Source organism: Homo sapiens, chromosome X, assembly GCF_000001405.40.
Source record: "Homo sapiens chromosome X, GRCh38.p14 Primary Assembly".
Taxonomy (NCBI): Eukaryota; Metazoa; Chordata; class Mammalia; order Primates; family Hominidae; genus Homo; species Homo sapiens.
Window position 1 is genome coordinate 132,281,508 of NC_000023.11, and position 13,048 is coordinate 132,294,555.

The 13,048-nt window shown below is 39.9% G+C and overlaps 1 long non-coding RNA gene across 1 annotated transcript in view, besides 1 other annotated feature; it reads left to right on the top strand.

Moving 5' to 3' along the window:
• The window catches only part of RAP2C-AS1 (RAP2C antisense RNA 1), a 214,305-nt gene that overhangs the window by 63,001 nt on the left and 138,256 nt on the right, over window positions 1–13,048 (top strand). The window lies entirely within an intron of this gene.
• Window positions 8,206–9,405: an enhancer, noted in NCBI's record as "BRD4-independent group 4 enhancer chrX:131423741-131424940 (GRCh37/hg19 assembly coordinates)". NCBI's record gives its function as "activates an origin of replication core promoter dependent on BRD2, P300/CBP, MED14 and CDK7 cofactors, and independent of BRD4, by STARR-seq in HCT116 cells {active_cell/tissue: HCT116}" and the evidence as "EXISTENCE:reporter gene assay evidence [ECO:0000049][PMID:35650434]".

Genomic DNA, 13,048 nt, shown 5'->3' on the forward strand with positions numbered 1-13,048 from the left:
AGATCAATATAGCCACAACATTATCTTCAGCCAAAACCCAATCCAGGGTAAGGCCCTAACTAAATTCAATTCCATGAAGGCTGTGAGAGGTAAGGAAGCTGAACAAGAAAAGTTGGAAGCTAGCAGAGGCTGATTCATGAGGTTTAAGGAGAGAAGTCATTTCCATAACATAAAAGTGCAAGGTGAAGCAGCAAGTTCTGATGGAAGTTGCAGCAAGTTATCCAGAAGATCTACCTAAGATAATTGATGAGGGTGGCTATACTAAACAACAGAATATCAGTGTAGATGAAACAGCTTTCTATTGGAAGAAGATGCCATATAGGAGTTTCATAACTAGAGTGGAGAAGTCAATGCATGGCTTCAAAGCTTCAAAGGACAGGCTGACTCTCTTATTAGGGGCTAATGCAGCTGATGACTTAAATTTGAAGCCAGTACTCATTTAACATTCCAAAAATCCCATGGCCCTCAAAAATCACCTAAATCTACCTGTGCTCTATAAATGAAACAACAAAGCTTGGATGAAAGCATGTCTGTTTACAGCATGGATTACTGACTATTTTAAGCCCACTGTTTGAGACTTGTTGCTCAGAAAAAAGATTACTTCAAAATATTGCTACTCATTCACAATGTACCTTTTCACCTAAGAGCTCTGGTGGAGATATACAAGGAGGTTAATGTTTTCATGACTGCTATTATAACATCCACTCGGCAGCACATGGATCAAAGAGTAATAGCAACTTTCAAGTCTTATTATTTAAAAAATACATTTCATAAACCTATTGCCGCCATAGATACTTATTCATCTGACGGATCTGGGCAAAGTAAATCAAAAACCTCTGGAAAGGATTCACCATTCTAGATGCCATTAAGAATATGATTCATGTGAGGAGGTCAAAATTATTAACATTAACAAGATTTTGGAAGAAGTTGAGTCCAACCTTCAGGGATGATTTTAAGGAGCTCAAGATTTCAGTAGAGGAAGTAACTATAGATGTGGTAGAAATAGCAAGAGAACTAGAATTAGAAGTGGAGCCTGAACATGTGACTGCATCGCTGCAATCTCATGATAAAAATGCAGCAAATAGGAGTTGCTTCTTATGAATGAGCAAAGAAAGTTGTTTCTTGAGATGGTACCTATTCCTGGTGAAGATGCTGTAAACATTGTTGAAATGACAACAAAGATTTTAGAATATTCCATAAACTTAGTTGATAAAGCAGTAGCAGGGTTTGAAAAGATGGACTCCAATTTTGAAAGAAGTTCCACTGTGAGTAAAATGCTATCAAATAGCTTTGCATGCTACAGAGAAATCTTTCATGAAAGGAAGCGTCCATCAATGCTGCAAACTTCCATTGTTGTCTTCTCTGAAGAAATTGCCACAGCCACCCAGCCTTCAACAACCACCTCCCTAATCAGTCAGCAGCCATCAACATTGAGGCCAGATCTTCCTCCAGCAAAAAGATGACTACTTGCTGAAGGCTCAGATGATCCCTACCATTTTGGGCAATAAAGTATTTTTAAATCAAGGTATGTACATTGTTTTGTAGACATAATGCTATTGAATACTTAATAGACTACAGTATGGTGTTAACATAACTTTTATTTTTAAGGATAACCTAGGATCCAATTGCCATTTATTTCAAGAGTGCCACACGGACAGGAGACAACTCAATAAATTATTAAATACTTGCACTATTTCAGTATTTGTATGTAATTGTAAAGATAAATACATTGTGTATGATTCCTCTGCTTCTATTTTGTTTGATTTTCCTGATAATCCATCTTGAGCCCAGAGAACTGTACTTGCATGTACTTCCTGTACTTAGCAAAAGGAAAGCATTCAAAGGAAGGACAGTTAAGGAAGGAAATTAGTAGATGGTACTTGGCAAGTATAGTAAGGACCAATTTGGAAGGTCCAGCTGAATTTTGAAGATTTTGTTTTTAATTTTTTTATTTCAATAGCTTTAGGAATACACATGAGTTTTGGTTACATGGATGAATTATATAGTGGTGAAGTCTAGAATTTTAGTGTACCTGTCATCTGAGTATTCAAATGGTATACATTGTACTCAATAGGTAGTTTTTTCTCCCTCACTCCACTCTCACCCTTCCCCCTTCTGAGACGCCAATGCCAGTATACCACTTTGTATGCCTTTGCTTATGCATAGCTTAGCTCCCATTTTTAAATGAGAACATGTGGTATTCGATTTTAGATTCCTGAGTTAGAATAATGGCCTCCAGTTCCATTCAAGTTGCTGCAAAGGGCATTATTTTGTGCTTTTCAAATGGCTGAGTAGTATTCCATGGTGTATATATACAGCATTTTCTTTATCAACTCATTGGTTGATGGGGACTTAGGTTGATTCCATATCTTTGCAATTGTGAATTGTGCTACAATAAACACATGTGTGCTGGTGTCTTTTTGATATAGTGACTTCTTTTCCTTTGGGTAAATACCCAGTAGTGGGATTGCTGGATTGAATGGTAGATCTACTTTTAGTTCTTTGAGAAATCTCCATACTGTTATCCATAGAGGTTGTATTAACTTACATTCTGATTAGCAGTGTATAAGTGATCCTTTTTTACCACATCCACACCAAACTTTTTTTTTTGTACTTTTTAATAATGGCCATTCTGGCTGGAGTAAGGTGGTCTCTCATTGTGGTTTTAATTTGCATTTCCCTGAAGATTAGTGGTGTTCAGCATTGTTTTCATATGTTTTTTGGCCATTTGTATATTTTTCTTTGGAGAAATGTCTATTCATGTCCTTTGCTGACTTTTTAATGGGACTTTTTTTGTTTTTTTGAGGTTTTCTTTTTTGTAAATTCTGGATATTAATTCTTTGTTGGATGCATAGTTTGCAAATATTTTCTCCCAATCTCTGGGTTATCTGATAATTTTTAAAAATTTTATTATTATTATACTTTAAGTTTTAGGGTACATGTGCACAACGTGCAGGTTTATTTATTTATTTTTATTATACTTTAAGTTTTAGGGTACATGTGCACAACGTGCAGGTTTGTTACATATGTATACATGTGCCATGTTGGTGTGCTGCACCCATTAACTCATCATTTACATTAGGTATATCTCCTAATGCGTTCCCTCCCCACTCACCCCACCCCACAACAGGCCCCAGTGTGTGATGTTCCCCTTCCTGTGTCCAAGTGTTCTCAATGTTCAGTTCCCACCTATGAGTGAGAACATGCGGTGTTTGGTTATTTGTCCTTGCGATCGTTTGCTGAGAATGATGGTTTCCAGCTTCATCCATATCCCTGCGAAGGACATGAACTCATCATTTTTTATGGCTGCATAGTATTCCATGGTGTATATGTGCCACATTTTCTTAATCCAGTCTATCATTGTTGGGCATCTGGGTTGGTTCCAAGTCTTTGCTATTGCGAATAGTGCCGCAATAAACATACGTGTGCATGTGTCTTTATAGTAGCATGATTTATAATCTTTTGGGTATATACCCAATAATGGGACTGCTGGGTCAAATGGTATTTCTAGTTCTAGATCATTGAGGAATCGCCACACTGTCTTCCACAATGGTTGAACTAATTTACACTCCCACCAACAGTGTAAAAGTGTTCCTATTTCTCCACATCCTTTCCAGCATCTGTTGTTTCCTGACTTTGCAATGATTGCCATTCTAACTGGCGTGAGATGGTATCTCATTGTGGTTTTGATTTGCATTTCTCTGATGACGAGTGATGATGAGCATTTTTTCATGTGTCTGTTGGCTGCACAGATGTCTTCTTTTGAGAAGTGTCTGTTCATATCCTTTTCCCATTTTTTTAATGGGGTTGTTTCTTTTTTTTCTTGTAAATTTGTTTAAGTTCTTTGTAGATTCTGGACATTAGCCCTTTGTCAGATGAGTAGATTGCAAAAATTTTCTCCCATTCTGTAGGTTGCCTGTTCACTCTGATGGTAGTTTCTTTGGCCGAGCTGAAGCTGTTTAGTTTAATTAAATCCCATTTGTCAATTTTGGATTTTGTTGCCATTGCTTTTGGGGTTTTAGACATGAAGTCCTTGCCCATGCCTATGTCCTGAATGGTATTGCCTAGGTTTTCTTCTAGGGTTTATATGGTTTTAGGTCTTACCTATAAGTCTTTAATCCATCTTGAATTAATTTTTGTATAAGATGTAAGGAAGGGATCCAGTTTCAGCTTTCTACATATGGCTAGCCAGTTTTCCCAACACCATTTATTAAATAGGGAATCCTTTCCCCATTTCTTGTTTTTGTCAGGTTTGTCAAAGATCAGATAGTTGTAGATGTGTGGTATTATTTCTGAGGGCTCTGTTCTGTTCCATTGGTCTATAAGTCTGTTTTGGTACCAGTACCATGCTGTATTGGTTACTGTAGCCTTGTAGTATAGTTTGAAGTCAGGTAGCATGATGCCTCCAGCTTTGTTCTTTTGGCTTAGGATTGACTTGGCAATGCGGGCTCTTTTTTGGTTCCATATGAACTTTAAAGTAGTTTTTTCCAATTCTGTGAAGAAAGTCATTGGTAGCTTGATGGGGATGGCATTGAATCTATAAATTACCTTGGGCAGTATGGCCATTTTCATGATAATGATTCTTCCTACCCATGAGCATGGAATGTTCTTCCATTTGTTTGTATCCTCTTTTATTTCATTGAGCAGTGGTTTGTAGTTCTCCTTGAAGAGGTCCTTCACATCCCTTGTAAGTTGGGTTCCTAGGTATTTTATTCTCTTTGGAGCAATTGTGAATGGGAGTTCACTCATGATTTGGCTCTCTGTTTGTCTGTTATTGGTGTATAAGAATGCTTGTGATTTTTGCACATTGATTTTTTATCCTGAGACTTTGCTGAAGTTGCCTATCAGCTTAAGGAAATTTTGGGCTGAGACAATGGGGTTTTCTAGATATACAATCATGTCATCTGCAAACAGGGACAATTTGACTTCCTCTTTTCCTAATTGAATACCCTTTGTTTCCTTCTCCTGCCTGATTGCCCTGGCCAGAACTTCCAACACTATGTTGAATAGGAAAGGTGAGAGAGGGCATCCCTGTGTTGTGCCAGTTTTCAAAGGGAATGCTTCCAGTTTTTGCCCACTCAGTATGATATTGGCTGTGGGTTTGTCATAGATAGCTCTTATTATTTTGAGATACGTCCCATCAATACCTAATTTATTGAGAGTTTTTAGCATGAAGGGTTGTTGAATATTGTCAAAGGCCTTTTCTGCATCTATTGAGATAATCATGTGGTTTTTGTCATTGGTTCTGTTTATATGCTGGATTACATTTATTGATTTTCATATGTTGACCCAGCCTTGCATCCCAAGGATGAAGCCCACTTGATCATGGTAGATAAGCTTTTTGATGTGTTGCTGGATTCGGTTTGCCAGTATTTTATTGAGGATTTTTGCATCGATGTTCATCAGGGCTATTGGGCTAAAATTCTCTTTTTTTGTTATGTCTCTGCCAGTCTTTGTTATCAGGATGATGCTGGTCTCATAAAATTAGTTAGGGAGGATTCCCTCTTTTTCTATTGATTGGAATAGTTTCAGAAGGAATGGTACCAGCTCCTCCTTGTACCTCTGGCAGAATTCAGCTGTGAATCCATCTGGTCCTGGACTTTTTTTGGTTGGTAAGCTATTAATTATTGCCTCAATTTCAGAACTTGTTATTGGTCTATTCAGAGATTCAACTTCTTCCTAGTTTAGTCTTGGGAGGGTGTATGTGTTGAGGAATTTATCCATTTCTTCTAGATTTTCTAGTTTATTTGTGTAGAGGTGTTTATAGTATTCTCTGATGGTAGTTTGTATTTCTGTGGGATCGTTGGTGATATCCCCTTTATCATTTTTTATTGTGTCTATTTGATTCTTCTTTCTTTTCTTCTTTATTAGTCTTGCTAGTGGTCTATCAATTTTGTTGATCTTTTCAAAAAACCAGCTCCTGGATTCATTGATTTTTTGAAGGTTTTTTTGTGTCTCTTATCTCCCTCAGTTCTGCTCTGATCTTAGTTATTTCCTGCCTTCTGCTAGCTTTTGAATGTATTTGCTCTTGCTTCTCTAGTTCTTTTAATTGTGATGTTAGGGTGTCAATTTTAGATCTTTCCTGCTTTCTCTTGTGGGCATTCAGTGCTATTAATTTCCCTCTACACACTGCTTTGAATGTGTCCCAGAGATCCTGGTATGTTATGTCTTTGTTCTGGTTGGTTTCAAAGAACATCTTTATTTCTGCCTTCATTTCGTTATGTACCCAGTAGTCATTGAGGAGCAGGTTGTTCAGTTTCCATGTAGTTGAGCGGTTTTGAGTGAGTTTCTTAATCCTGAGTTCTAGTTTGATGGCACTTTGGTCTGAGAGACAGTTTGTTATAATTTCTCTTCTTTTACATTTGCTGAGGAGTGCTTTACTTCCAACTATGTGGTCAGTTTTGGAATAAGTGTGGTGTGGTGCTGAGAAGAATGTCTATTCTGTTGGTTTAGGGTGGAGAGCTCTGTAGATGTCTATTAGGTCTACTTGGTGCAGAGCTGAGTTCAATTCCTGGATATCCTCATTAACTTTCTGTCTCGTTGATCTGTCTAATGTTGATAGTGGGGTGTTAAAGTCTCCCATTATTATTGTGTGGGAGTCTATGTCTCTTTGTAGGTCTCTAAGGACTTGCTTTATGAATCTGGGTGCTCCTGTATTGGGTGCATATATATTTAGGATAGTTAGCTCTTCTTGTTGAATTGACCCCTTTACCATTATGTAATGGCCTTCTTTGTCTCTTTTGTTCTTTGTTGGTTGAAAGTCTGTTTTATCAGAGACTAGGATTGCAACCCCTGCCTTTTTTTGTTTTCCATTTGCTTGGTAGATCTTCTTCCATCCCTTTATTTTGAGCCTATGTATGTCTCTGCATGTGAGATGGGTTTCCTGAATACAGCACACTGATGGGTTTTGACTCTTTATCCAATTTGCCACTGTGTGTCTTTTAATTGGAGCCTTTAGCCCATTTACATTTAAGGTTAATATTATTATGTGTGAATTTGATCCTGTCATTATGATGTTATCTGGTTATTTTGCTCGTTAGTTGATGCAGTTTCTTCCTAGCCTTGATGGTCTTTACAATTTGGCATGTTTTTGCAGGGGCTGGTACCGGTTGTTCCTTTCCATGTTTAGTGCTTCCTTCAGGAGCTCTTTTAGGGCAGGCCTGGTGGTGACAAAATCTCTCAGCATTTGCTTGTCTGTAAAGTATTTTATTTCTCCTTCACTTATGAAGCTTAGTTTGGCTGGATATGAAATTCTGGTTGAAAATTCTTTTCTTTAAGAATGTTGAATATCGGCCCCCGCTCTCTTCTGGCTTGTAGAGTTTCTGCCGAGAGATCAGCTGTTAGTCTGATGGGCTTCCCTTTGTGGGTAACCTGACCTTTCTCTCTGGCTGCCCTTGACATTTTTTCCTTCACTTCTACTTTGGTGAATCTGATCTTTATGTGCCTTGGAGTTGCTCTTCTCGAGGAGCATCTTTGTGGCATTCTCTGTATTTCCTGAATTTGAATGTTGGCTTGCCTTGCTAGATTGGGGAAGTTCTCCTGGATAATATCCTGCAGAGTGTTTTCCAACTTGGTTGCATTCTCCCCGTCACTTTCAGGTACACCATTCGGACGTAGATTTGGTCTTTTCACATAGTCCCATATTTCTTGGAGGCTTTGTTCATTTCTTTTTATTCTTTTTTCTCTAAACTTCTCTTCTCACTTCATTTCATTCATTTGATCTTCCATCACTGATACCCTTTCTTCCAGTTGATCGAATTGGCTACTGAGGTTTGTGCATTCTTCACGTAGTTCTTGTGCCATGGTTTTCAGCTCCGTCAGTTCCTTTAGGGACTTCTCTGCATTGGTTATTCTAGTTAGCCATTCGTCTAGTCTTTTTTCAAGGTTTTTAACTTCTTTGCCATGGGTTCGAACTTCCTCCTTTAGCTCGGTGAAGTTTCATCGTCTGAAGCCTTCTTCTCTCAACTCGTCAAAGTCATTCTCCATCCAGCTTTGTTCCGTTGCTGGTGAGGAGCTGCATTTCTTTGGAGGAGTAGAGGTGCTCTGATTTTTAGAATTTTCAGTTTTTCTGCTCTGTTTTTTCCCCATCTTTTTGGTTTTATCTACCTTTGGTCTTTGATGATGGTGATGTGCAGATGGGGTTTTGGTGTGTATGTCCTTCCTGTTTGTTAGTTTTCCTTCTAGCAGTCAGGAGCCTCAGGTGCAGGTTTGTTGGAGTTTGCTGGAGGTCCACTCCAGACCCTGTTTGCCTGGGTATCAGCAGCAGAGGCTGCAGAACAGAGAATATTGGTGAACAGCAAATGTTGCTGCCTGATCGTTCCTCTGCAAGTTTTGTCTCAGAGGAGTACCCGGCTATGTGAGGTGTCAGTCCGCCCCTACTAGGGGGTGCCTCCCAGTTAGGCTACTCGGGGATCAGGGACCCACTTGAGGAGGCAGTCTGTCCATTCTCAGATCTCAAGCTGCGTGCTGGGAGAACCACTGCTGTCTTCCAATCTGTCAGACAGGGACATTTAAGTCTGCAGAGGTTTCTGCTGCGTTTTGTTTGGCTATGCCCTGCCCCCAGAGGTGGAGGCTACAGAGGCAGGCAGGCAGACCTCCTTGAGCTGTGGTGGGCTCCACCCAGTTTGAGCTTCCTGGCCGCTTTGTTTACCTACTCAAGCCTCGGCAATGGCGGTCACCCCTCCCCCAGCCTTGCTGCCGCCTTGCAGTTTGATCTCAAACTGCTGTGCTAGCAATGAGTCAGGCTCTGTGGGTGTAGGACCCTCTGAGCCATGCGTGGGATATAATCTCCTGGTGTGCCGTTTACTAAGACCGTCAGAAAAGCACAGTATTAGGGTGGGAATGACCCGATTTTCCAGGTGCCGTCTGTCACCCCTTTCCTTGGCTAGGAAAGGGAATTCCCTGACCCCTTGCCCTTCCTGGGTGAGGCGATGCCTCGCCCTGCTTTGGCTCATGCTTGGTGCACTGCACCCACTGTCCTGCACCCACCGTCTGAAAGTCCCCAGTGAGATGAACCCGGTACCTCAGTTGGAAATGCAGAAATCATCCATCTTCTGCGTCGCTCACGCTGGGAGCTATAAACTGGATCTGTTCCTATTCAGCCATCTTGGAACCGCTTCTATCTGATAATTATTTCTTTTGCTGTGCAGAAGCTTTTTAGTTTAATTAGGTCCCATTTATTCAGTTTTGTTTTTGTTGCATTTGCTTTTGGGGTCTTAGTCATAAATTATTTGCCTAGGCCAATGTTCAGAAGAGTTTTTCCTAGGTTTTCTTCTAGATTTTTAATGGTATCAGTTCTTAGATCCATCTTGAGTTAAATTTTGTACATGGTAAGATATAGGGATCTGGTTTTGTTCTTCTACATGTAGCTATCCAATTTTCCCAGCACCATTTATTGAACAGGATATCTTTTCCCTAATTTATGCTTTTGTATGCTTTGTCAAAGATCAGTTGGTTGTAAGATGTGGCTTTATTCCTGAGACCTCTATTCTGTTCCATCAGTTACATGTCTACGTTTTTACCAGTACCATGCTCTTTTGGTTACTATAGCCTTGTAGTATAATTTGAAGTCAGGTAATGTGATGCCTCAAGATTTGTTTTTCTGCTTAGGATTGCTTTGGCTATTTGGACTTTTTTCTGGTTCTATATGAATTTAGGGGATTTTTCTAATTCTGTGAAAAAATGATGTTGGTATTTTGATAGGAATTGCATTGAATCTGTAGGTTGCTTTGAGCAGTGTGGTCATTTTCATCGTATTGATTCTTCCAGTGCATGAGCATGGGATGTATTTCCATTTGTTTGTGTCATCTACAATTTCTTGCAGCTGTGTTTTGTAATACTCCTTACAGAGATGTTTCACCTCCTTGGTTAGGTATATTCCTGGGTATTTTATTTTTTGCAGCTACTGTAAAAGGAATTGAGTCTTGATTTGTCATTCAGTTTGGTCATTGTTGGTGCATAGCAGTACTGCTCACTTGTCTATATTGATGTTGTAGCCTGGGACTTTACCAAGTTCATTTATCAGATTTAAAAGTGTTTTGGAGGAGTCTTTAGGGTATTCTAGATATAAGATCATATAATCAGAAAACAAAGATAGTTCGATTTCCTCTTTTCCAATTGGGATGCCCTTTATTTCTTTCTCTTGCCTGATTGCTGTGGCTAGAACTTCGAAATGTAACTTTTATATGCACTCAGCAACCAAAAACATTATGTTGCTCACTTTATTGCAATATTTGCTTTATGGCAGTGGTCTGAAAGCAAATCCACAATATCTTCAAGGTATGCTTATTTATGCAGGACATCCTTTGTTGGATAAGTTTGAAGGTGGAGAGACCAATCAAAAGATGATTGTCGTAGCACAGGTGAGAGAGATGATGGAGGCTGTGACTGGGTTGTTGCTAATGCAGATGAAGAAAAGTGGATGAATTGGGCATCTATAACAAATGCTGAAACCACAACCATTTCAGTTTTCCAGTTGAGAGGTTATGAGGTCAGATCCAGCACAGTGTATGTAGAAACAGAAAATAAGAGATATCTTAGAGATATAACTTTGAAGGAAGTCTCAAAGACTTAATGCCAGGGAGAATTAGAGCATATTGAGGGTGCGGGAGACTGATTTGTGGTCTCAATCATTAGGGAGATTGAAGGACCAGACAAAGAAATGAGGAGCAAAGGATGGAGACAGGGTGTGGGGAGAAGTGAGGAGGGGGACAGTTTTGGGAAAATTTTAATGATGAAAAGTCAGAGGATATCCAAATGAACATGCCCCATAAGCAATTGGAAATGTAGGTCTGGAGCTCAGGAGCAAGAAAACACTGCAAACGTAATGGGACAAAAGATCTTTCACATTTATATTTAGGTAGAGATGTATCCAGAGACCTGTAGACGTCTTTGGTATTACTTTTTTTAAAAACAAACATGTGATCATCCATAGTCTCTAATACTTATCTACAACCCCAAGAAGGTCTTTCGTTATTGTTGTTTTATTTTTGTTTTTGTTTTTAGGGAGTTGGGTATGGAGTGATCATGTGGGAAGGAACATACGGACAAGGTAAAAGAGTGTGGGATTGGGGAGAAATTGAGAACAAGAGAGGAGAAAAGCACATAAAGCATATCAGAAGCTGCTCCCACCACCATCTCTCTAAAGCTATGATTGAGATGCTGGGCCAGGTTGAGTGATTGTGTTAATTCCCCCTCCCTACCCCATTTTCAGTGAAAGTTTCACCTAGCTTCATGAATAACTGTGTCTTGCTCTGTCTCACTTGCTTTGGCCTTGTCTTTGTCCTTCTCTGTCTTTGTCTCTCCTAGTTTCCTTATCGAGCTTTCCCTCGGGGGACTTTTTCATTCTTCACTAGCCCAATATTTCATCCTTGGGTTGGTTCATGTTTCTCCAAAATGCTGACAGCTCCATCAGAGAATGCAAGGATGAATTGCCACAAATATATTTCTGAACTGCCACTAGATGGCAGTGTCTGGGAACTTTGTTAACTCGGTCTAGGCATTCATGAGTGCCTGACTGCTGAGTGGTAGGGAGTTTCATTTGATTATTCTGCTTTTAGGCCGTTGCAACCAGTTGCTAACACAAGTGCTAGACTTAGCTGGATCTCTTTCTCCATGATAGAAGAAAATTCATGTTTGTAAAGCACCCAGGGCTGGAAAAGCCTGTTCTTTAAGAGGGTTAGCGTTTTCCTCTACCTCAATTCTCACACAAGTTCCTAGCCCTTAGATTCCTTAGATTCCCTTTTGTTCCCCCTTCAGCTGTTGTTTGTTGTTTGGTTTCATTTTTTATGCAAATATATTTCCTCCTTCCCCAGCTTTGTTAGTAAGTTGGATCAATTCTCTTTCCTCTTTTTGAGGATGGACTTGTAGAATCATCTGCTATCAAAGCTTGAAGAACTCTTAGATGTCGTCGAGTCCAATCCAATCATTTACAGATAGAGAAACTGAGGCAAAGACAGGAGCAGAAACTTGTTCAAGGCCATATAAAAATTCAAGGCAGAATCCTATGGGACAATCTCATGACATACTTGTAATAATCAACAAAACAACCAGAAGATTATTTTTGATCCATTAATTGTGGATCTAGCACAATAGAGGAAGGGGAGGGAGACAGGAGGTATAGGACATGGTGCCTGTTCTCAAGGCACTTAGAATCTAGGTGGGAATATAGACTTTTACACAATGAAAAAGAATAAATGCATTGTGTGATAAGGTAATCTAAGAAAAAATGCTAATGTAGGCAAGTGGTACAGGGATTCAGAGGAACAACAGCTCTAAGAGAAAACAAGGCAATGGGTGGGGGTGAAGGTGAAGCTGGGAGATGAGAAATTCAAAGATTATTATTATTCAGGGATCAAGGCCTAATAAGTAGGCCTGACAAGTAGAGGGTAGGGGTCAATAAGAAGTAAAAGATAAGACTCAGTGATAGGCTGGGACTGTACTGTACAGGCTCTTAAATGCCAGGCTAATTCCTGGTAATGCTGAACAGAAACTTTCAAATGCTTTCAATCTATTTTCTATTTACGGTGGTAACTTTCTGCTATGTTTGATTCCCCAAGAAGTAGCCTCTTTGCTCTGCCGTGCTTTTCCCCATTAGTCTCATGTTGCCGGCCCAGCAGAAGGGAGATGAAGTAGAGCTGAAAAATCAGTCTGGGGCTTATTTCCACTACAGCTTTTCCCTAGTGATTCAATCAAGAGTGACCTGGACATTCTCCAATCCTAAACCCATTTCATTCATTTTATTTCCATTCTCCACCCACTCATGGGAGTCTGAGCACCTGGCCTCTGCATCCCACAACTTCCTTTGTCACAAGGGCTTTCCAGAAGGTTTGGAGAGCTCTTGACAGCTGAGAAACACCTATAGAAGGTGAGCATGACTTCATGCAAATGAAAGAGGCCTCCATACAAAACAGCTCTTTAAAAGCAGTCTGAACGTAGGAACAATCCAAGAGCCCTTTCAAATTGTCAAGAGCACATCAGTGCCCAAGCATCTTGGCCAGCCACATTTCAAAGCCAAGCAATGCCACCCTCTCCCCTTCTCAACTCTCCC